A 26,252-nucleotide genomic window follows, 5' to 3' on the forward strand; every position below is an offset into this window, starting at 1 on the left:
GGCACCACCAAACACAACCGTCTGGGCTGACACTGATCCCAGAGAGAAAGCCAAGCACAGCCTCTGGTCTGATGAAGTGCCTATCTGTGGAGTTCATATGCCTATGATGTTTTATAGATTTAAAGTGCTTTCGGATTCATTTAATTCTCACAACTGAGTGTCACTGTTACCATGTCTGTGTCAGAGACTGTGAAAATGAGACTCAGGGAGGCTGGCTCACATGAGTGCATCACACGGCCATCAGCAGGACAAACTTAAGCTCGGGTCTCCTGATTGCAGAGCCCAGGTCCTTTTCCACGGCCCCAGAATGCTGGTCATCAGCAGAAAGACACGTGAGGCCAGTAAACGCCTCTTTTCAACTCAACAGCATTTACTGATGGCCTCCCTTATCCTGCTCTGAACTGGGGTGTGGGGCGTGGGGACTACACACCCATGGAACGGTAAGCCTTTTCCCTCAGAGAGTCCCTAATGGGAGGGAGAGACAGTCCAGTAGACAGCCGTTAGCATCCAGGCCTCAGTGCTGCCATGGGCTTAGGTCAGGGGACGGGGTGCTATACCTCTTGGACCTCAGGGAGGAAACCCACCCCTACTCTGGACTCCCAGCCCCACAGAGCCTCGCAGAGCTGCGTGCAGTGCAGGTGCTTAAGAAGCACTAGCTGACAAGGGAATCTACAATCAGCCAGAAGAAATGAGACCCTGTGATTGGCATTTGAGAACAGTTTCCTTTCAGGGTTTTTTTTTTTTTCTTTAGGATTAAAATCTTAGAGTTAGTTGTCTAAAAAAAAAGGTAAATATTTTATGTGTTTCTCTCCTTGGATTGTGAACTCCTTGAGGTTACTCTCTCACCACCCAGAACAGCACCATAAAAGCACAATAAATATTTCATAAGGTTCTATATTAGGTTGCCAATGCCCGAAAATGGCTCTCCCTACTTGCCCAATAATAGGCCTAGGAACCAGTCAGAGGAAGCCCTTCTTCTCCCTCTGCCTCAGCTGCTGCTCCCCCACCCAGAACACTGAAAGGCCAGGTTATGCTGTGCCAAGGGAAGCTGAATCATTTCAAAGACATGAGTTAGATTTCCCTCCTCTTTTCCCCATCTATAGCTTCAAACCTAAATAAAATTATAGGCTCAGAATCGTTGAGATCATCTGGTTGCAACTTAATGAAGACAGTGAAACCCAAAATGAGAAGGGCAAATAACATTAACTATACGAAGGTTTTAGTTACTGCTATTATTAGGTGAGTTTCTGAAATAGAATGAGGATTGTGGATTGGAATTAACGGAAAACACTAGAAGAAACCACAATTTAAATGAAATCACAAAAGACTCAAGCCAAATGTTATGAAAATTACTTGTCTGTAAGTCATATCCCACCATGATGCAGCCATTCTCAAGCTTGCTGAAATTCAAAGAAAATAATATGTACACACACAAGCGCGCAAGCGCGCGCACGCACGCACGTGCACGTGCATTATTTGTCTATCTATCAATAATCCATTTTTCTAGCTAATCTATCTATCTTGTATTAGAAAGGGAAAAGTATTGCTAACCAAAGCCCCAAATTTCCTGAAGAGGTCTGGAATTACACTATAACATTTTCAGAGGTATCTGGTACCATGTCAATTCTTCAGGGTTTTACCTTCTCACAAAAAGAGAATTTGTCCAACACTTGGAGATATTATACCTTTATTTATATTCATCAAAGAGATTGCCTTGGTTCTTGTTTTGTCCTGGTAATGTCTCAAGATTGCTGTCTCCTTCTGTGCAATTTGTAAACAAAATGATATTTTATTTCTTAAGTCGTATTTATATACACAAAAGCTAAAGCTATTACAAAATCCTGGGATTCATTTTCCTTACTAGCTACCTAAATAGCTAAAGGTTTTTTTAATTTTAAAAACAGGTTGTAGTTATTTCTTAATAGATAATATAAAAATTATTTTAAACTCCAAGAACTTGTTTTAATAATCACTATAGATCTAGATATCTTTATCCTAAGGTGTTCATTAAATGTTGTTAACATAAAACTAGACAGCTAGCAAAAATATCATGTAATTTGACAGCCAGGACTTCAAATAATCAGTAATACTATAATGTGGCCACAAACCTAAGATTCTGTAAGTGCTGGTTTAAGCCAACAGGAACTTGATTCTCTGTGATTTTCCCCCACATTTGGATCCCCAGAGTCTCTCTTCTCCATCTTTACATCCCTTTGTTTAGTTCCCACTTACAAGCCAGAACATGTGATATTTGATTTTCTACTTCTTCATTAGTTCACTTAAGATCATGGCCTCCTCCAGCTCCATCCATGTTGCTGCAAAAGACATGATTTTGTTCTTTTTTATAGATGCATAGTATGGTGTGAGACAGGTGAGGAATGAAAAATTATCTACTTGGTACAAGGCTCAAAACTTGAGTGATGGGTACACCAGAGGCCCAATCCCCACCATTACAAATGTAATGCCCATGTAACAAACAAGCATATGTGTCCCCTGAATCTAAAATCATATTAAGTTAAACTTAAAAAAAAGAAATGGGGAATATCTTTGAATTTCAAACCTGATACTGAGGTAGGAATTAGGCAGGATTGGTTTTGCAAGGTACAGGTCACAAAGACCCCACTGATAAAATATGTGGTACAGACACCAGCCAAAACCTGCCAAAAACCAAGATGGCAAGGAAAAGGACCTCTGGCCATCCTGACTGCTCTTTATACAGTAATTGTAATACATTAGCATATTAAAGGAGACTCCCACCAGTGCCATGATAGTTTACGAATGCCATGGCAACCTCTGGAAGTTACCCTAGGTGGTGTGAAAGGGGGAGAAACCCTCAGTTCCAGGAATTGCCTGCTCTTTCCCAGAAAACTCATGAATAATCTACCCCGTGGTTAGCATATAATCAATAAATAACCATAAAAATAACCAACCAGCAGCCCTTGGGCAGCTCTGCCTACAGAGTAGCCACCTTTTTATTCCTTTACTTTCTTAACAAACTTGCTTTCACTTCACTCTGTCCACCAACACATGAATTTCTTCCTGTGAGAAGCCAAGAACCCAATTTTGGGGTTCTCCCTGTGACAGCACCACCACAAATGTGTATCTCCCAAGACATTCAAAGGAGAGATGCACAGAAGCTGAACTAGTTAACATCAGCTGCTGTGGGTTCTTTCCTCCTCTGTAGCTGTCGGAATCTCTGGGTTCTGTTGATGGAACAAGGAGGGAATATTCTCAGAGCACAAAGAGAAGCTGTTCTGCCCCCAAAGTTTGTAATCACTCATATTGGAGCTACCTTTCATTTTTCAGCAAAGCACCTATGCATAGAATTCCTGTTTTTTAATAGGGCTTTCTAAGATTTTGCCTTTTTTTATTCTGTTGATTTTATTTTGTTGCTTTTACAAGACATATTTTTAACATCACTCAGTTCTGGTAAGTGGCAATGATATTATCTCATCTGGGTTGTCCAGGCAATTGTCACTGACTGAAAATAAATAAGAGAGAAATTTGCATAGTAATAAGGGTACACAGACAAAAATAATTGCAATTTATCTTTACGACAAATGGATCAGTTATTAGCCTAGGAGGAGGGAATAGGAATCATCACCCCTGATATTGAAAGGCAAATAAAGAGCTGGCCTGTTAGAAAGTATAATATTTATGATTGAAATTCTCATAATAGTTCTGAGTATGGACAATTTCAGAGTACATTTGGGAAAACATCCCTAGGATAACAGTGTTTAACTGTTTTATAATTGCTTTGGAACCAAATAGAATCTGGTGCTAATGTTTTTATTAATAAAGGAAAGGTTAAACATGAGCAAATAGCTATAATTGTTCATTAAAAATGCTAACCATGTGAAATCCTTGCAATGGCTAAAGGTATTAATAATGGAGTGCAGTTTTTTTTTCTCCAATGGCAAATTGAAGTCACAGTGACATGAGAATTTGAGGTAGAAGTTTTGGCATATCAAGTATTCATTGTATCATCAGGGTCTCATATGGCTTGGTGAGTACTCAAGTCATAAAGGCTTGCAAGCAGATTGGTGTATTCAGGAGCAGTGCCATCTTGCTCTAAAACTATATAACACCTGTTGCTGGGAAAGAGGAAATGTGAGAACATGTCATTCCAGCATTTATTCATAAAAATGCTCTGTCGCTTTACACTGCTCTCCAGTTTACCTTGAGACTCGGCACTCAGCTCCCTTTCCCTTCGCTTTCACCTTGGGATATTGTGTTGCTCAGATGTTCATAAACCTTGGAACCACCTTTAACACAGACAGAAATTGTTTAAAGAACTGAGATTCCTTCCAGTTCTGAAAGATATCGAAGTTTCTGAGTCTACTTGGAAAAATGACTTCTTTCACCAGGATCTACCTCATTCCTGTATACTGAATTCATCTGTCATCCGACTTCCTCACCATTCCAGTGTGGTTCCTGGGCCAGCTGCCTCAGCATCATCCCGGAGCTCATTAGAAATGCAGATCCTCAGGCCCATCCCAAACACACTGAATCCAAATCTTTGTTTTAAGGAGATCCTCTGTGGATTCACATTATATGTATCTGAAAGTTTGGGAGGTATTAGCCTACTTGACCTCCGAGATTCTGTGCACACATCCGACTTGACCACCAAAATTCCACTTCACTTTCTAACAAGGGCCTTTGCATGTTGGCTCCCACATGCTTGGGTTCCTTTGGGCCCAGTAACTGTAGGGAAATGGATGTTCTTCTAGTCGTGGACCAAGCCTTCCCTGTTTTTATTTCTCTACTGGACTGCTGTAACTCTTTCAGTCTTTACATACACCTGAATCCTAGTGATTTGTAACCCTACTGAAGGCATACCCATGAGGTGTGGTCAAGGGAACATAGTCCAGCAACTAAAGAGTAATTTCAACATGAATTACATTTGTTTTTCTCAAATATCATGAAGTGATCACGTTGTAAAATTCCTTTTTCTTTCTCTCACATCTATTTTCTTCACATTCCATGGTACTTCCAACTCTTTCTCCCTCATAGTTTCTGAAAAGCTGCTTAACCTAAAACTTCTTCCACAGCCCTAGATTGCCTATTTCTCCTTTTAACCTCTTTTCTTGTCCCTTAATTCTGCATCTAGAAGGATGAAGAAACCAGTTGGCTGAGAGGGAACCCTTCTTGAAAAGGATGGGGACAGGCAGGGTTACTTACCACTATACTAATGAGGAGGTTCCTAAAGAAATTAAAAATGAGATTACTGTATGACTCAGCAATCCCTTTCATCTCCCAAAGGAGATGAAATCATCACCTTGTAAAGATACCTGCACTCCCATGTTTACCGCAGCATTATTCATGATAGCTAAGAGATGGAAACAAGCTAACTGTCCATTGAGGAATGACTGGATAAAGAAACCGTGGTATGTATATATATACAACAGAATAAATCTGCTCTAAAAAAGAACAAAATATTTCCATTTGTCACAACATGGATGAATCTGGAGGACACTATGCTAAGTGAAATAAGCCATACCCAAAGAAAAATATTGAATGATCTCACTCATACGTGGAATCTAAAAAAAAAAAAAAACAAATATACAGAGAGAGAGAACAAAACGGTGGTTACCAGAGACAGGATGGGTGGAGTGGAAATGGATAGATACAGGTCAGAGGATACAAAGTAGCTGATATGTAGGATGAACAAGTCTGGAGATTTAATATATAACGTGAGGACTACACCTGATAGAATTGTACCATATTTGGGGTTCACGCTAAATGAGCAGATTTTAACTGCTCTTGCCACAAAAGCAAAAAAGGGTCACTATGTGAGATGATAAATATGATCATTTGTTTTACTACAGTAACCATTTTACTATTTATACATATCCCATAACATCATGTTGTATACCTTAAATGTACATAATACAATTTATTTTTTAAAAAGAAAGGGATGGGGAGGGAAGGAATGGAATGAACAAAGATCATGGTGCCCAGAAAACCTGGAGACTTGCTTGTTAATAACCTTCTCCCTGTCCCATATGCCTATTCGGTGTCTGCATTTCTTGCTTGTGTATGGTCTGTGGCAGAGACAGCTAGCACCCATCAGATTTCAGCTCTCCTTTTCTTCCTGAGCATTCAGCTGGAATACATTTCCCAGCCTCCTTGATTCTAGGTGAGGGCAGGTGAAGAGTTTCTCATCAGCGAAATGTGAGCCCACAGGGTGTGTCACTGCAGAGCTGAGGCATCTGTGAGTGGATGTGCCTTCTCTCTTTTCCTTTATTTGCTGCCCAAATATAGAGGTCTCAGTGGAGGACACCCAAGTCCTAGGGCAATGGCTGTTAACCCATGGCAGAGGAGTTCAGGAGGTGCTTTTGACCTTCAAATGACATTTGACAATGTCTGGAGACATTTCTGGTTGTCATAACTAAGAGGTGTTACTGGCACCCAGTGAGTGGAGCCCAGAGGTGCTGCTAAACATTCTACAATCCACAGGACAGCCCCTCACAACAAAGAATCATCCAGCCCAGTAGGACTGAGTTTGAGAAGCCCTGTCCTAGGAGATGGTGGAGCCATGAGAGGAAAGGAGGCTGGATCCTCTAACGGAGCATCACAAGACCCAACTAATGAAATGCTTTGAGGGGAGTTAGCAAGAGGCCCTTTGTGGGCAAAGCCACTGAGGTCTGAGGGTCACTTATTTCAGCAGTTAGCCTACCCTGACTGAGCATATAGCATTCCATCTAGAACTGAGTCCTGTGGAGCTTCTGCGGGGCTGCTGTGCAGAGCCACCTAGCAAGCTTTATTAGAATGGTCCATTTTATTCAGAGACTTTGCAATAAGCTGAGCATTGTTATGAAAATAAGATGTTTCCATTAGAAGCAGCAGATGTTTACCGTAAGCCTCGTGAATTTCTGTCACTACACATCAGAGCTGACTCCAGGGCTATAAGTGGGTACCTAGGTTTATTCAGGAATCATTTGCTACAGCTAATCTCACTGCAGCCCTCTCCCCCATCATTACAAAAGTAGGGGGCAAATTGGTCTCGATTACATGCATGAAGAGGCTTTATTTGGGATTAATGTTATGGTGCCACCTCCATTGCAATTCTTTCTCAATTGAGGGAAGGCACATCCTTTGATGATTCAGACTAAAATGTTCTTTTTGGTTTTATAAAAATCACAGACAACTGAAAAAGAAGCCGCATTCTTCACAAGCTCCTACAACCTAGCATATAAAGGTCAATGACTTGCTGCAGTGTGATTGTAATTGATGGTTGCATATCACTAGATTGACTTATGCATGTTCCTATACATGAAGAAGCTCATGCTGAGTGGATAAGTGCCTTGCCCAAGTGCCTCGGTCAGCAATAGGACAGAGGTAAAAACCCATGTTGCTTAACAGCCTCTGTTGCCTTGCACCTTCCGGTTGCTTTTAGAAGCAACATTCCCAGTATCATGTCTGTGTGCTGCCACTTTCATTTATGGAGCATTTTGCTGCTCCACTAGGCAATTAGAGAATGAGCCTCTGCAGTGTCACATTGATCTTTCCTGTTCAGATGTATCTCTAGCTGTTAACATTTCATTATAATCAAGGTTTTCTTGAGTTCTCCGTGACCCTTGACTCATCAAGTTCCCAGACCTCTGAATGCTGTGAGTTAATTAATTTTGCTGTCTGATGTGAACATGTAAAACTGGCATGGAACCTGGAGTCTTGATGGGAAGATAGTTTGGTGATCACATTATTTTTCATATGAAGTCAGATTTATCGGAAACACCAACAGAGGAGCAATTTAACAAAACAGTTCTCTCTAATCCCAACAGAGTGGCACTAGGTTTGCAAATAAATGTTAAAAGAAGGACTATATTCAGTTATATGTAAATATCACTGCTGAATGCCACTCTTCTTGAAGGACAAAGGCATCTATTACTCAAGGAGATAGCCTGATACATTACTCGTAGACTATGGGATACAGCCATGTGCATATGCTCAGGTACTAACCCCAGCTCCACTTAGTCTCCCCTCCAAGGCAGGTCCTACTGTCAGCTCCTGAATAGTGCAAAGCAGGTGACAGTAGCTCACTCATACAGGAGATAAGCCAGTTATGGATTAAGAACTGACTATAACATGTCCTTTAAATCCAAAGATGAAACTACTACAGAGAAGGCAGGGAGAGGGTCTTGCAGTCCTCTCTGCACTGTGGGCAGCTCTGGGCTTCTTGCATATTCAGCCACCGCTGTGTTTTCAGCATCTTTCACCGTCTGTAGCCCTGCCACCCATTAGGAGGCCTAAAGCCTCTGATAAAGAAGAGCCTTTCCTTTTTTGTTCTTTTTTTATGCAAAAGTAACTGTTCTCTTTGATAACTTGGTTCCACTAAACACTGCAACTATGCTACCTATTTCAAGTGATCTTTTTTCTTGTTTATATCTCTTGTTGTAAACTCTCTTAAATTCAACATATTCCTCCTGTTGAATAAAGGAGCATGCTCACCCAGAATAAGCCTGGATCCAACCCCCTGGAAGTGTACAGGGGCAAAAAGAGATTGAAGGCAAATCAATGGGATATATTACAGCATGTTGTTGGTGGTAATTGTGGTCTTCCTTTAAATTTTAGTATGCTTTCCTGCCAACTCTGATGAAAGTAGGGAAGAGACTAAATTTCATGTCTGGGTAAGTTTAAGTCTTATAGAAAATGGGTCAGTAGATGGTAGGGTAAGAGGCTGTATCTGAATGTAGTATATGTTTGCTTGATTAGCAAATCAATGCACATTTATAGGGTGGGAAAGAGTTGATGAAGAAAAGAAACATCTTGATGCTTAGTTAGGTATCACTGAACCAGGAACTAGCAGATCAAAGGCTGTAAGCTTCATGAACCACACTTGCTTCAGGGTTCCATTCTCATTAGCTGGTGGAATGAAGGAGGACTTTGCTAAAGCTCTTGTTTTAGTTCCCGACGCTACTGTCCTTCCCTCCAACCCTTCTTCACTTCTGGAGTGCCTTCTATGAAAATTTATCTGACTTCATTCTCCCCATTTATGTGTTTGTTACATATGATAAACACCTCATAGACTTCTGATTTGATGCTGAGGACTTAGAATAGTCTAGAACTTCTGCTTTTGATCACACACATTTATGCTGAATTCCAGTTTCATCGCTTAGTTACCATATGTTTTTGGAGAAGATACTTAATTTTTCTGAGTTGTTTCCTCAACTGCAGAGTATAGCTAATAATAGTTAACTACTTTATAGGATTTTTGGATAAATTAAAATAAATATATGCAAAATGCTTAGCAACAGACCTGGCATATATCAAGTATTTGATGAAAAATACTTGTTTATGGGTTTTGCTTATGCTTATTCCTATTATAATTTTTATTGTTACTATCATGAGGCTGGTCAGCTCTATTGTCAAAATGTACCTTGAATCCAGCCAGCCTTACCTGCCTCTCCATTGCCTTCCTAGTTCGAGCCACTGTCATCCCTGGCCTGGAATTCTTCAGTACTTTTCTGAACCATCTTCCTGCTTCCATGCTTTTTTAAATCTATTCCTCATACAGCAGCCAGGGCCATCTTTAATAATTTTTTTATCAGATCCTATGACTCTCTCATTTAAAACATCCAATGTACCTAAAAGGAAGTTCATACCCCTTACCTAAGACTGCTATATTAGTCAGGGTTTTCTTAGAGGAACAGAACTAATAGGATGTATACATATATTATATATAAAGGGGAGTCTATTAAGTATTAACTTATAGGATCACAAGGTCCCAAAATGGGCTGTCTGCAAGCTGAGGAGCAAGAAGAGCCAGTCCGAGTGCCAAAACTGAAGAACTTAGAGTCCAATGTTCAAGGAGAGGAAGCATCCAACACAGGAGAAAGATGTAGGCTGGGAGGCTAGGCCCATCTCTCCTTTTCTCGTTTTTCTGCCTGCTTTATATTCACTGGAAGGTTGTTAGATTGTACCCACCAGAATAAGGGTGGATCTGCCTTCCCCAGCCCACTGATTCAAATGTAAAACTCTTTTGGCAACACCTACACAGACACACCCAGGATCAATACTTTGTATCCTTCAATCCAATCAAGTTGACACTCAGTATTAACCATCACAACTGCAGAGGCCTTGCCTCTATCCATCTAGTCAGCTGTGTCTCCTACTCAGCTCTCTTTGGTACTCTGTAACTCAGTCATTTGGCCCATCTACCTCTCAATGCTGCGTATTCCTGCCTCATCATCTCCACACTTCTCTTGCCTAGATTACTCTATTTTGGGTCGTTTTACATGCCTAGGCCTTCTTTTTTTTTTTCTTTTTTTTCTTTTTATTATTATTATTATTATTATACTTTAAGTTTTAGGGTACATGTGCACAATGTGCAAGTTAGTTACATATGTATACATGTGCCATGCTGGTGCGCTGCACCCACTAACTTGTCATCTAGCATTAGGTATATCTCCCAATGCTATCCCTCCCCGCTCCCCCCACCCCACAACAGTCCCCAGAGTGTGATGTTCCCCTTCCTGTGTCCATGTGTTCTCATTGTTCAATTCCCACCTATGAGTGAGAATATGCGGTGTTTGGTTTTTTGTTCTTGCAATAGTTTACTGAGAATGATGATTTCCAATTTCATCCATGTCCCTACAAAGGACATGAACTCATCATTTTTTATGGCTGCATAGTATTCCATGGTGTATATGTGCCACATTTTCTTAATCCAGTCTATCATTGTTGGACATTTGGGTTGGTTCCAAGTCTTTGCTATCGTGAATAATGCCGCAATAAACATACGTGTGCATGTGTCTTTATAGCAGCATGATTTATAGTCCTTTGGGTATATACCCAGTAATGGGATGGCTGGGTCAAATGGTATTTCTAGTTCTAGATCCCTGAGGAATTGCCACACTGACTTCCACAAGGGTTGAACTAGTTTACAGTCCCACCAACAGTGTAAAAGTGTTCCTATTTCTCCACATCCTCTCCAGCACCTGTTGTTTCCTGACTTTTTAATGATTGCCATTCTAACTGGTGTGAGATGGTATCTCATTGTGGTTTTGATTTGCATTTCTCTGATGGCCAGTGATGGTGAGCATTTTTTCATGTGTTTTTTGGCTGCATAAATGTCTTCTTTTGAGAAGTGTCTGTTCATGTCCTTCGCCCACTTTTTGATGGGGTTGTTTGTTTTTTTCTTGTAAATTTGTTTGAGTTCATTGTAGATTCTGGATATTAGCCCTTTGTCAGATGAGTAGGTTGTGAAAATTTTCTCCCATTTTGTAGGTGGCCTGTTCACTCTGGTGGTAGTTTCTTTTGCTGTGCAGAAGCTCTTTAGTTTAATTAGATCCCATTTGTCAATTTTGGCTTTTGTTGCCATTGCTTTTGGTGTTTTAGACATGAAGTCCTTGCCCATGCCTATGTCCTGAATGGTAATGCCTAGGTTTTCTTCTAGAGTTTTTATGGTTTTAGGTCTAACGTTTAAGTCTTTAATCCATCTTGAATTGATTTTTGTATAAGGTGTAAGGAAGGGATCCACTGTCAGCTTTCTACATATGGCTAGCCAGTTTTCCCAGCACCATTTATTAAATAGGGAATCCTTTCCCTAATGCTTGTTTTTCTCAGGTTTGTCAAAGATCAGATAGTTGTAGATATGTGGCGTTATTTCTGAGGGCTGTGTTCTGTTCCATTGATCTATATCTCTGTTTTGGTACCAGTACCATGCTGTTTTGGTTACTGTAGCCTTGTAGTATAGTTTGAAGTCAGGTAGTGTGATGTCTCCAGCTTTGTTCTTTTGGCTTAGGATTGACTTGGAGATGCAGGCTCTTTTATGGTTCCATATGAACTTTAAAGTAGTTTTTTCCAATTCTGTGAAGAAAGTCATTGGTAGCTTGATGGGGATGGCATTGAATCTGTAAATTACCTTGGGCAGTCTGGCCATTTTCATGATATTGATTCTTCCTACCCATGGGCATGGAATGTTCTTCCATTGGTTTGTATCCTCTTTTATTTCCTTGAGCAGTGGTTTGTAGTTCTCCTTGAAGAGGTCCTTCACGTCCCTTGTAAGTTGGATTTCTAGGTATTTTATTCTGTTTGAAGCAATTGTGAATGGGAGTTCACTCATGATTTGGCTCTCTGTTTGTCTGTTGTTGGTGTATAAGAATGCTTGTGATTTTTGTACATTGATTTTGTATCCTGAGACTTTGCTGAAATTGCTTATCAACTTAAGGAGATTTTGGGCTGAGACAATGGGGTTTTCTAGATATACAATCATGTCGTCTGCAAACAGGGACAATTTGACTTCCTCTTTTCCTAGTCGAATACCCTTTATTTCCTTCTCCTGCCTAATTGCCCTGGCCAGAACTTCCAACACTATGTTGAATAGGAGTGGTGAGAGAGGGCATCCCTGTCTTGTGCCAGTTTTCAAAGGGAATGCTTCCAGTTTTTGCCCATTCAGTATGATATTGGCTGTGGGTTTGTCATAGATAGCTCTTATTATTTTGAAATACGTCCCATCAATACCTAATTTATTGAGAGTTTCTAGCATGAAGGGTTGTTGAATTTTGTCAAAGGCCTTTTCTGCATCTATTGAGATAATCATGTGGTTTTTGTCTTTGGTTCTGTTTATATGCTGGATTACATTTATTGATTTGTGTATATTGAACCAGCCTTGCATCCCAGGGATGAAGCCCACTTGATCATGGTTGATAAGATTTTTGATGTGCTGCTGGATTCGTTTTGCCAGTATTTTATTGAGGATTTTTGCATCAATGTTCATCAAGGATATTGGTCTAAAATTCTCTTTTTTTGGTTGTGTCTCTGCCTGGCTTTGGTATCAGGAGGATGCTGGCCTCATAAAATGAATTAGGGAGGATTCCCTCTTTTTCTATTGATTGGAATAGTTTCAGAAGGAATCGTACCAGTTCCTCCTTGTACCTCTGGTAGAATTCGGCTGTGAATCCATCTGGTCCTGGACTCTTTTTGGTTGGTAAGCTATTGATTATTGCCACAATTTCAGCTCCTGTTATCGGTCTATTCAGAGATTCAACTTCTTCCTGGTTTAGTCTTGGGAGAGTGTATGTGTCGAGGAATTTATCCATTTCTTCTAGATTTTCTAGTTTATTTGCGTAGAGGTGTTTGTAGTATTCTCTGATGGTAGTTTGTATTTTGTGGGATCAGTGGTGATATCCCCTTTATCATTTTTTATTGAGTCTATTTGATTCTTATCTCTTTTTTTCTTTATTAGTCTTGCTAGCGGTCTATCAATTTTGTTGATCCTTTCAAAAAACCAGTTCCTGGATTCATTAATTTTTTGAAGGGTTTTTTGTGTCTCTATTTCCTTCAGTTCTGCTCTGATTTTAGTTATTTCTTGCCTTCTGCTACCTTTTGAATGTGTTTGTTCTTGCTTTTCTAGTTCTTTTAATTGTGATGTTAGGGTGTCAATTTTGGATCTTTCCTGCTTTCTCTTGTGGGCATTCAGTGCTATAAATTTCCCTCTACACACTGCATTGAATGCGTCCCAGAGATTCTGGTATGTTGTGTCTTTGTTCTCGTTGGTTTCAAAGAACATCTTTATTTCTACCTTCATTTCGTTATGTACCCAGTAGTCATTCAGGAGCAGGTTGTTCAGTTTCCATGTAGTTGAATGGTTTTGAGTGAGATTCTTAATCCTGAGTTCTAGTTTGATTGCACTGTGGTCTGAGATATAGTTTGTTGGGGAGGAGCCAAGATGGCCGAATAGGAACAGCTCCGGTCTACAGCTCCCAGCGTGAGCGACGCAGAAGACGGGTGATTTCTGCATTTCCATCTGAGGTACCGGGTTCATCTCACTAGGGAGTGCCAGACAGTGGGCGCAGGCCAGTGGGTGCGTGCACCGTGCGTGAGCCGAAGCAGGGCGAGGCATTGCCTCACCTGGGAAGCGCAAGGGGTCAGGGAGTTCCCTTTCCGAGTCAAAGAAAGGGGTGACGGACGCACCTGGAAAATCGGGTCACTCCCACCCGAATATTGCGCTTTTCAGACCGGCTTAAGAAACGGCGCACCACGAGACTATATCCCACGCCTGGCTCAGAGGGTCCTACGCCCACGGAGTCTCGCTGATTGCTAGCACAGCAGTCTAAGATCAAACTGCAAGGCGGCAACGAGGCTGGGGGAGGGGCGCCCGCCATTGCCCAGGCTTGCTTAGGTAAACAAAGCAGCCGGGAAGCTCGAACTGGGTGGAGCCCACCACAGCTCAAGGAGGCCTGCCTGCCTCTGTAGGCTCCACCTCTGGGGGCAGGGCACAGACAAACAAAAAGACAGCAGTAACCTCTGCAGACTTAAGTGTCCCTGTCTGACAGCTTTGAAGAGAGCAGTGGTTCTCCCAGCACGCAGCTGGAGATCTGAGAATGGGCAGACTGCCTCCTCAAGTGGGTCCCTGACCCCTGACCCCCGAGCAGCCTAACTGGGAGGCACCCCCCAGCAGGGGCACACTGACACCTCACACGGCAGGGTATTCCAACAGACCTGCAGCTGAGGGTCCTGTCTGTTAGAAGGAAAACTAACAACCAGAAAGGACATCTACACCGAAAACCCATCTGTACAGCACCATCATCAAAGACCAAAAGTAGATAAAACCACAAAGATGGGGAAAAAACAGAACAGAAAAACTGGAAACTCTAAAACGCAGAGCGCCTCTCCTCCTCCAAAGGAACGCAGTTCCTCACCAGCAACAGAACAAAGCTGGATGGAGAATGATTTTGACGAGCTGAGAGAAGAAGGCTTCAGACGATCAAATTACTCTGAGCTACGGGAGGACATTCAAACCAAAGGCAAAGAAGTTGAAAACTTTGAAAAAAATTTAGAAGAATGTATAACTAGAATAACCAATACAGAGAAGTGCTTAAAGGAGCTGATGGAGCTGAAAACCAAGGCTCGAGAACTACGTGAAGAATGCAGAAGCCTCAGGAGCCGATGCGATCAACTGGAAGAAAGGGTATCAGCAATGGAAGATGAAATGAATGAAATGAAGCGAGAAGGGAAGTTTAGAGAAAAAAGAATAAAAAGAAATGAGCAAAGCCTCCAAGAAATATGGGACTATGTGAAAAGACCAAATCTACGTCTGATTGGTGTACCTGAAAGTGATGTGGAGAATGGAACCAAGTTGGAAAACACTCTGCAGGATATTATCCAGGAGAACTTCCCCAATCTAGCAAGGCAGGCCAACGTTCAGATTCAGGAAATACAGAGAACGCCACAAAGATACTCCTTGAGAAGAGCAACTCCAAGACACATAATTGTCAGATTCACCAAAGTTGAAATGAAGGAAAAAATGTTAAGGGCAGCCAGAGAGAAAGGTCGGGTTACCCTCAAAGGAAAGCCCATCAGACTAACAGCGGATCTCTCAGCAGAAACCCTACAAGCCAGAAGAGAGTGGGGGCCAATATTCAACGTTCTTAAAGAAAAGAATTTTCAACCCAGAATTTCATATCCAGCCAAACTAAGCTTCATAAGTGAAGGAGAAATAAAATACTTTATAGACAAGCAAATGCTGAGAGATTTTGTCACCACCAGGCCTGCCCTAAAAGAGCTCCTGAAGGAAGCGCTAAACATGGAAAGGAACAACCGGTACCAGCTGCTGCAAAATCATGCCAAAATGTAAAGACCATTGAGACTAGGAAGAAACTGCATCAACTAATGAGCAAAATCACCAGCTAACATCATAATGACAGGATCAAATTCACACATAACAATATTAACTTTAAATATAAATGGACTAAATTCTGCAATTAAAAGACACAGACTGGCAAGTTGGATAAAGAGTCAAGACCCATCAGTGTGCTGTATTCAGGAAACCCATCTCACGTGCAGAGACACACATAGGCTCAAAATAAAAGGATGGAGGAAGATCTACCAAGCCAATGGAAAACAAAAAAAGGCAGGGGTTGCAATCCTAGTCTCTGATAAAACAGACTTTAAACCAACAAGGATCAAAAGAGACAAAGAAGGCCATTACATAATGGTAAAGGGATCAATTCAACAAGAGGAGCTAACTATCCTAAATATTTATGCACCCAACACAGGAGCACCCAGATTCATAAAGCAAGTCCTCAGTGACCTACAAAGAGACTTAGACTCCCACACATTAATAATGGGAGACTTTAACACCCCACTGTCAACATTAGACAGATCAACGAGACAGAAAGTCAACAAGGATACCCAGGAATTGAACTCAGCTCTGCACCAAGCAGACCTAATAGACATCTACAGAACTCTCCACCCCAAATCAACAGAATATACATTTTTTTCAGCACCACACCACACCTATTCCAAAATTGACCACATACTTGGAAGTAAAGCTCTCCTCAGCAAATGTAAAAGAACAGAAATTATAACAAACTATCTCTCAGACCACAGTGCAATCAAACTAGAACTCAGGATTAAGAATCTCACTCAAAGCCGCTCAACTACATGGAAACTGAACAACCTGCTCCTGAATGACTACTGGGTACATAACGAAATGAAGGCAGAAATAAAGATGTTCTTTGAAACCAACGAGAACAAAGACACCACATACCAGAATCTCTGGGACGCATTCAAAGCAGTGTGTAGAGGGAAATTTATAGCACTAAATGCCTACAAGAGAAAGCAGGAAAGATCCAAAATTGACACCCTAACATCACAATTAAAAGAACTAGAAAAGCAAGAGCAAACACATTCAAAAGCTAGCAGAAGGCAAGAAATAACTAAAATCAGAGCAGAACTGAAGGAAATAGAGACACAAAAAACCCTTCAAAAAATCAATGAATCCAGGAGCTGGTTTTTTGAAAGGATCAACAAAATTGATAGACCGCTAGCAAGACTAATAAAGAAAAAAAGAGAGAAGAATCAAATAGACACAATAAAAAATGATAAAGGGGATATCACCACCGATCCCACAGAAATACAAACTACCATCAGAGATATAGTTTGTTATAATTTCTGTTCTTTTACATTTGCTGAGGAGAGCTTTACTTCCAAGTATGTGGTCAATTTTGGAATAGGTGTGGTGTGGTGCTGAAAAAAATGTGTATTCCGTTGATTTGGGGTGAAGAGTTCTGTAGATGTCTATTAGGTCTGCTTGGTGCAGAGCTGAGTTCAATTCCTGGGTATCCTTGTTGACTTTCTGTCTCGTTGATCTGTCTAATGTTGACAGTGGGGTGTTAAAGTCTCCCATTATTAATGTGTGGGAGTCTAAGTCTCTTTGTAGGTCACTCAGGATTTGCTTTATGAATCTGGGTGCTCCTGTATTGGGTGCATATATATTTAGGATAGTTAGCTCTTCTTGTTGAATTGATCCCTTTACCATTATGTAATGGCCTTCTTTGTCTCTTTTGATCTTTGTTGGTTTAAAGTCTGTTTTATCAGAGACTAGGATTGCAACCCCTGCCTTTTTTTGTTTTCCATTGGCTTGGTAAATCTTCCTCCATCCTTTTATTTTGAGCCTATGTGTGTCTCTGCATGTGAGATGAGTTTCCTGAATAGAGCACACTGATGGGTCTTGACTCTTTATCCAATTTGCCAGTCTGTGTCTTTTAATTGGAGCATTTAGTGCACTTACATTTAAAGTTAATATTGTTATGTGTGAATTTGATCCTGTCATTATGATGTTAGCTGGTTATTTTGCTCGTTAGTTGATGCAGTTTCTTCCTAGTCTCAATGGTCTTTACATTTTGGCATGATTTTGCAGTGGCTGGTACTGGTTTTTCCTTTCCATGTTTAGTGCTTCCTTCAGGAGCTCTTTTAGGGCAGGCCTGGTGGTGACAAAATCTCTCAGCATTTGCTTGTCTGTAAAGTATTTTATTTCTCCTTCACTTATGAAGCTTAGTTTGGCTGGATATGAAATTCTGGGTTGAAAATTCTTTTCTTTAAGAATGTTGAATATTGGCCCCCACTCTCTTCTGGCTTGTAGAGTTTCTGCCAAGAGATCCGCTGTTAGTCTGATGGGCTTCCCTTTGTGGGTAACCCGACTTTTCTCTCTGGCTGCCCTTAACATTTTTTCTTTCATTTCAACTTTGGTGAATCTGACAATTATGTGTCTTGGAGTTGCTCTTCTCGAGGAGTATCTTTGTGGTGTTCTCTGTATTTCCTGAATCTGAATGTTGTAGGCCTTCTTATTGTTAGAAAATTAGTTCAAGTGTCACCCCCTTACAGGGGTAAACACTGACCACTTTCTTTTTATTTTTTCTTCAACATTTAACTTCAGGGGTACATATGCAGGATGTGCAGGTTTGTTACATAGGTAAACATGTGCCATGGTGATTTGTGGCATAGATCATCCTGTCACCAAAGTAGTAATCCCAGCATCCATCAGCTATTCTTCCTGATGCTCTCCCTCCCCCACCCCCACCCCACAGGCCCTGTGTGTGTTGTTCCCTTCCATGTGTCCATGTGGTCTCATTATCATCTATTTATTTAGCTCCCACTTATAAGTGAGAACTTGTGGTGTTTGGTTTTCTGTTCTTGTATTAGTTTGCTGAGGATGATGGCTTCCAATTCCATCCATGTGCCTGCAAAGGACATGATCTCATTCCTTTTTATGGCTGCATAGTATTCCTTGGTGTATATGTACCACATTTTCTTTATCCAGTCTATTGTTCATGGGCATTTAGGTTGATTCTATGTCTTTGCTATTGTGAATAGTGCTGCAATTAACATATATGTGCATGTATCTTTATAATAATATGATGTGTATTCCTTTGGGTATATACCAACTAATGGGATTAATGGGTCAAATGGTATTTCTGCCTCTAGGTTTTTAAGGAATTGCCACACTGTCTTCCATAATGGTTGAACTAATTTATACCCTTCCAACAGTGTAAAAGTGTTCCTTTTTCTCTGCTACCTTGGCAGCATCTGTTGTTTTTTGACTTTTTATTAACCGCCATTCTGACTGGCATGGGAGGATATCTTACTGTGGTTCTTATTTGCATTTCTCTAATGATCAGTGATGTTGAGCTTTTTTTTCGTATGTTTGTTGGCTGCATGTATGTCTTCTTCTGAGACCTGTCTATTCATATCCTTTGCCCACTTTTTAATGGGGTTGTTTTTTCTTGTAGATTTGTTTAAGTTCCTTGCAGACTCTGGCTATTAGATCTTTGTCAGACAAATAGATTGCAAACATTTTCTCCCATTCTGTAGGTTGTCTGTTCACTCTGACAATAGTTTCTTTTGCTGTGCAGAAACACTTTAGTTTTATTAGATCCCATTTGCCAATTTTTGTTTTTGTTGCATTTGCTTTTGGTGTTTTCATCATGAAATCTTTGCCTACACCTGTGTCCTGAATGGTATTGCCTAGATTTTCTTCTAGGGTTTTTACAGTTTTGGGTTTTACATTTAAGTCTTTAATCCATCTTGACTTCATTTTTGTATGTGGTATAAGTTTCAAAGAATTCCCTGCTTGATAAATGGTACTGGGAGAACTGACTAGCACCATTTATTAAACAGGGAATCATTTCCCCATTGCTTGTTTTTGTCAGGTTTGTCGAAGATCAGATGTTTGTAGGTGTGTAGTCTTATTTCTGAGTTCTCTATTTTGTTCCATTGGTCTGCATGTCTGTTCTTGTACCAATACCATGCTGTTTTGGTTACTGTAGCCTTACAGTATAGTTTGAAGTCAGTAGCATGATGTCTCCAGCTTTGTTCTTTTTGCTTACAAATGTCTTGGCTATTCTGGCTCTTTTTTTTGGTTCCATTGAATTTTAAAATAGTTTTCTCTAATTTTGTGAAGAATATCAGTGATAGTTTAATGGGAATAGCATTGAATTTATAAATTAGTTTGGGTAGTATGGCCATTTTCATGATACTGATTCTTCCTATCCATGAACATGGAATATTTTTCCATTTGTTTCTGTCCTCTATGATTTCTTCTGAGCAGTGGTTTATAGTTCTTTTTGAAGAGATCCTTCGCTTCTCTTGTTAGCTGTATTCCTAGGTATTTTATTCTTTTTTGTAGCACTGTGAATGGAGTTCATTCATGATTTGGCTCTCTGCTTGACTTGTTGGTGTATAGGAATGCCAGCTATTTTTGCGCATTGATTTTGTATCCTAAGACTTTGCTAAAGTTGCTTATCAGCTTAAGAAGCTTTTGGACCAAGACAGTGGGGTTTTCTAGATATAGGATCATGTCATCTGCAAACAAAGATAATTTGACTTCCTCTCCTCCTATTTGGATGCCCTTTACTTTTATTTTTTTGGGGGGATGGGGGCAGAGGCAGAGTCTCACTCTGTTGCCTAGGCTAGAGTGCAGTGGTGTGACCTCGGCTCCCTGCAACCTCCACCTCCCAGATTCAAGCTATTCTCCTGCCTCAGCCTCCTGAGTAGCTGGGATTAACAGGCACCCGCCACCACACCCAGCTAATTTTTGTATTTTTAGTAGAGAACAGGTTTCACCATGTTGGCCAGGCTGGTCTTGAACTCCTGACCTCAAGTGATCCGCCCACCTCAGCCTCCCAAAGTGCTAGAAATCCTTTACATCTTTCTCTTGCTTGATTGCCCTGGCCAGAATTTCTAATACTATGTTGAATAGGAGTGGTGAGAGAGGACATCCTTGTCTTGTGCCGGTTTTCAAGGGGAATGCTTCCAGCTTTTGCCCATTCCGTATGATATTGGCTGTGAGTTTGTCATATATGGCTCTTATTATTTTGAGGTATGTTCCTTCAATACTTAGTTTATTGAGAGTTTTTAACATTAAGGAATGTTGAATATTATCTAAGGCCTTTTCTGCATCTATTGAGATAATCATGTGGTTTCTGTCTTTACTTCTGTTTATATGATGAACCACATTTATTGATTTGCATATGTTGAACCAACCTTGTATCCAAGTGATGAAGCCTGCTTGATTGTGGTGGATTAGCTTTTTGATGCGCTGCTGGATTTGGTTTGCCACATTGACCGCTTTCTCAAAAAATGTGTTAAACAGTATGAAATCACTGATTTTTGACCATTCTTGACCTAAAATGACCTACAAATAGGTTAAACTCTCCTTACTACTCCTTCATTCCCCATCAGCACATCTTCCATACCATCTTAACTATTAAATATTGACATTATTTCATTTGCAATTATATGCGTATGTTGAGAATAATAGAATTCTTATGTTAGAAAGTAAGCTTCAAGAGTGTGGATACTCAGTCTTTCTTCTTCATTTCTGTATTCCCAGCACCATGTAGGTCCTCTTCAGGTAGTTGGTAGATGGTGTGTGAATGAAGACACTAGTAACACCAGACTCAGTGTGCCATCTTTCAGAGGGTTAATTTAGTTCTTTTATTTATTCTTTAATCTGCCAATGTACTATCTGTATATTGCAGGTATGGCTCTGTGTCAGAAATGACATATAGATTCTGTCTCTTGTCAGTGGGTACTGTATGCTGCAGCACTGTGTTGAAAAGGCCTCTGAAGCTGCCTTCAGACTCAGCAAAAAGAGTGCCATGATTGACCAGCAGTACCCTCCATGGGTAAGGTGTTTGCTGTTCCCATTCCAAGGAATTTAACTGTGTGTAGAAAGTTTTGTCAGTGCAGATCAGGACAGTCTCAGCTTGCTGTCTAATTACAAGTTCATGGTGCTTTCCTGTCTCTGTGAAGCTGTCATACCTTCTTACATATGCACTTTGAAGGCCACTTACTGATATCCAGTGGGTTCTATGCAACTTACTTGAACATTTCCAATAGTATTTTTGTGCTTGAATTTTCAGTTTACTTAAAAAGCATAAAATATTCTAGGGCCTGGTGTGGTGGTTCACGCCTGTAATCCCAGCACTTTGGGAGGCTGAGGTGGGTGGATCACCTGAGTTCAGGAGTTTGAGACCAGACTGGCCAACATGGTGAATCCCTGTCTCAACTAAAAATACAAAAATTAGCTGGGCATGGTGGCGCATGCCTGTAATCCCAGCTATTGGGGGGCTGAGTCAGGAGGATTGCTTGAACCTGGAAGGCAGAGGTTGCAGTGAGCCAAGATCGTGCCATCTCCAGCCTGGGCAACAGAGCTCAAAAAAAAAAAAAAAAAAAAGAGCATAAAATATTCTAATTAAGTCTCTAGATACTTTTAATATGACTGCCTAAAGTTCATTAAGACAATTAGACATGTAATGCAAGACTGCTTTATATTACTAAGATAGGTCAGATAGGACACATCTTTTTTTTTTTTTTATTTAGTAAGCTTCTTTAAATAGTTGTGGTTGCTTAACACCTTCTAGAAGTTACCCTAGGTTTTCTAGAATAAAAGGCTTGGCCGGGCACGGTGGCTGACATCTGTAATCCCAGCACTTTGGGAGGCCAAGGCGGGTGGATCAAGAGATCAGAAGTTCAAGACCAGCCTGACCAATATGATGAAACCCCGTCTCTACTGAAAATACAAAAAATTAGCCGAGCATGGTGGCACATGTCTGTAATCCCAGCTACTCGGGAGGCTGAGGCAGGAGAATCACTTGAAACCAGGAGGCAGAGGTTGCAGTGAGCTGAGATCATGCCACTGCACTCCAGCCTGGGTGACAGAGCGAGACTTCGTCTCAAAAAATAAATAAATAAAAAGTAAAAAATAAAAGGCTTATGGTACAGACATGGAGAAAATATATTGTCCCACACTTACTGTAAGCTGCTTGTTGTTTTCAATTTATATCAACATGGAAAAATGCTCCAAAGCATATTATTAAATTAAAACATGGATTCTGTGATTGGAACTGTTTAAATTGTGAATCCAATAGCCACTCAGTGAAAAAGACCTGGCCTGATGCATCATTCTCCCGAGACAGACCCCTTGAGAATTTTCTTTCCTCTTAATTCTGATAGCCAAGTAAGTTGGGTTCAGGGAAAAAGTTAGTTATGAACACTCTGGGAACATTGTTTGGCATACTTAAACATGATGCAATATTGAAAATGAGTTGTCCAGCACACTCCTCTAGGCTCCTGTCCAGTTTCTAATTCGCATTCCCTAAGACAAAGGAGGCAGACGGCAAACCTGCCTTTGTCCAGCATTTCCCTGCAGGAGCTTGTGTCCCAGTCAGATTGGCATGCTCTTTTCCCAGCTGTAGCACGTGCCTTCCCTGTTCACTGCCACCACGCCAAGTAACCACCATTCATACTCCATCTGAGATCTAAGCTTGCCCAAGGATCAGTGTGATTCATTTCACATAAACACCATTTCTGTCTCTTACCAGGTGCTCTGTGATGTTCACTTGTTTAACTGGCTAGGGCAGTGGAAAGCTTTCTCCAGCTGAGTGATCTCCCTATTCTCCCACTGTCTATAGGCCATCTATTTCATTTCTATTTTATCCTACTACCTCGTAACATCTGTTCTATTTTGTAACCTAATGCCATAGAGTTTTTATGTTGCACTTATATTAGATTCTAACTTTTGATGTGCGTGCGCAGAACCATAGTCACTTTAACTAGATTCCATGTTCCTGGAAGCAGGAGAAGAATCATTCTTTGTATTTTCAAAACAGATAAAATAGGTAGCAGATTGCTAAGCATGTGGAAGTTTCTTGGTTAAATAATTGCAGAAGGATAGAAATAGAAGAAGAGAGAGATGGAACGAGGAAGGGAAAGGAAGAGGGAGGCAAAAGATAAAAGAAGACAGGATGTGGCTGTTCCTGAAACACCAGAGTCTGGTACAGTGCTTGTTTAAAAATAGATGCCAAAAACATGCTTGACTAATATAGAGAGATATTCTATCTTGCAAAAAGCATCCTAACGTTGCAAATCCGGTAATGCCCCTTTTAGTTCTCTATACCTCTCCATATATACAAAGCATCTCTTCAGATTCCACTTCCAAAAGGCAGATTCATAAGGATACCAATCCTAACTTAAAAACAAAGCCAATAATGTAAAAAAAAGGCATCAGTATATGGATTAATCTTCATTCATCTAACCTCCAGTGCTAATGGACCTCATCTTTAAGATGGTGCATATTTTATACCAATATTAACCACATAATCATTGATTTAGAAGTTACTTGTCAGATTTCAAATCTGATAACAAGGATCTCTTAAAATATAAGTATCGTAGAGTTGAAAATCAACAACTGACATTTAATTTTTTTTTATAGAAACACATGTATATATATTTTTAAGGAGAGAGATCATCCAAGTAGAGGGATATTTTTAATTCAGTGAACTAAACTCCTTCTACTCCCAGGTACAGACAAACTGGCAGAATGAGATATTTCTGAAAAAAGGAGCCCCAGTAACCCTTGTGATCAGTGCACCATCAGGACAGATTCACAGGCTGTCCAGAATCCAGAGGAGGGAGCGTGTGTGTGTTGTGCATGCAGGTGTATCGGCTAGACTTTACAAATAAAAGTACACACTTCCAGGCAGGCGCTCTTGCAGTCCTAGTAGATGTGATTTCAGGGTCAAACAAGTCAAGTCCATCCACATTTATTGAGTGTTTAATGTGATGTTCAGGAGTGTGGCGAATACAAAAGAACTTGCAGCCCAGCATTTTATTTTGTGTGGGTGCAGCCTGTTAACACCTCCTCTTTTCCTTTAGGACACTGCTGTCACCCACCCACCCAAAGTAATGTCCCCATTTTACCTGGCCATTTGGAGATGTAAGTTTTTCCTCATAATTACAAAGGTACTATCTGATCACTGCCAAAAATTTATTAGATACATAAAAACACACAAGCAAAATCAAACAATACACAATCTTTTTATTTATTCATTATTATCATTTTTTAACTTATTTAAAAAAATAAGATACAAGGTCTCACTATATTGCCCAGCCTGGTTTTGAACTTCTGGGCTTAAGTCATCTGCCTACCTTGGCCTCCCAAAGTGCTGGGATTGCAGGCGTGAGCCACTCGCCCAGCCAAACAACACATAATCTTACCATTAACAAAACAGATCTGTTGTTCACATTATGGTGTTCGTCCTTCCAGTGTTTTTAAAATTTAAGATAATATGATTTTCATATACAATGTTGACATTCTGGTTTTAAATGTATATATATACACACACATATATATTTCTATATATATTTATATTCATATATAAGTAATAAATAAATATACATATTATATATAATATACTTACATATATAAATATAAATATATATGACTCCCTGTGTCCATATCTATATATATATACACACACATATGCATTTATATATATATATAGAGAGAGAGAGAGAGAGAGAGAGAGAGAGATAAAATATATATATGAGGGCAGAGTGGTTTAGCTGATTATAAACTGGGATTACTGACATGATGGCATCCAACCCTCCAGTATCTGTTTTCATGAGCTGATATGATTGGAGACAAGTTGTGATCACAGGGTACTGGGGCAGAAGCAGAAAAGTAGGAAATGGAGACCTGAATGTGTTTGTTCGAGGTTTGAACTTCTCTAAGAAGTCCTTCCCTGTCCTTAGGTCACAAAGACAGTCTTCTGCATTGTCTTCTGATAACACTATAGCTTTTACGTTTCACATCTAATGTATCTAGTACTCATTTTGTATATGATGTCAGGGAGGAATTCGGCTTCCTTTTTCCCCAGTTAGTGAGCCAGCATCACAAACACCATCCACTAAACAAGGGGTCCCCAGCCGCCAGGGCCATGGGCTGGTACTGGTCTGTGGCCTGTTAAGAACTGGGCCACACAGCAGGAAGTGAGCGGTGGGTGAGCAAGTGAAGCTTCATCTGTATTGATAGCCACTCTCCAACACTCACATTACCACCTGAGCTCTGCCTCCTATCAGATCAGCAGTAGCATTAGATTCTCTTAGGAGAACAAACCCTATTGTGAACTGCACATGTGAGGGGTCCAGGTTGTGTGCTCCTTGTGAGAATCTAATGCCTGATGATCTGTCACTGTCTCCCATCACCTCCAGATGGGACCATCTAGTCCCAGGAAAACAAGCTCAGAGCTCTCACTGATTCTATGTTAGGGTAGGTTGTATAATTGTTTCGTTATATATTACAATGTAATAATAATAGAAATAAAATGCACAGTAAATGTAATGCGCTTGAATCATCCCGAAACCATCCCCCCACTACTCCCAGTCTGGAAAAATTGCCTTACGTGAAACTGGTCCCTGGTGCCAAAAAGGTTGGGGACTGCTGTACTAAACAACTCATCCTTTCCCAGGGGATTTACGAGGCTACAACTGCCATCTATGATGGAGCCATGGGCCTATCTGGATCTGTCTCTAAGCTCCCCATTTTGGCCAGTCTGTCTGTTCTTGCGTCAATATTGCATGCTATTATTACTGTGGCTTTATAATCTCTTAAGAAATCTGCTAGACAAATTCTCACACTTTACTCTTCTTTTTCAAAGTTGAGTTAGTTACTCTTGGATATT

General features: G+C 40.5%; 2 annotated features.

Moving 5' to 3' along the window:
• Positions 7,109-7,610: an enhancer, noted in NCBI's record as "NANOG hESC enhancer chr18:5678118-5678619 (GRCh37/hg19 assembly coordinates)". NCBI's record gives its function as "activates a minimal SCP1, AML or CMV promoter by ChIP-STARR-seq in naive H9 embryonic stem cells {active_cell/tissue: H9 hESC(naive)}" and the evidence as "EXISTENCE:reporter gene assay evidence [ECO:0000049][PMID:30033119]".
• Positions 13,401-13,985: an enhancer, noted in NCBI's record as "OCT4-NANOG-H3K27ac-H3K4me1 hESC enhancer chr18:5684410-5684994 (GRCh37/hg19 assembly coordinates)". NCBI's record gives its function as "activates a minimal SCP1, AML or CMV promoter by ChIP-STARR-seq in primed H9 embryonic stem cells {active_cell/tissue: H9 hESC(primed)}" and the evidence as "EXISTENCE:reporter gene assay evidence [ECO:0000049][PMID:30033119]".

This window comes from Homo sapiens, chromosome 18 (genome assembly GCF_000001405.40).
Source record: "Homo sapiens chromosome 18, GRCh38.p14 Primary Assembly".
NCBI classification, from domain to species: Eukaryota; Metazoa; Chordata; class Mammalia; order Primates; family Hominidae; genus Homo; species Homo sapiens.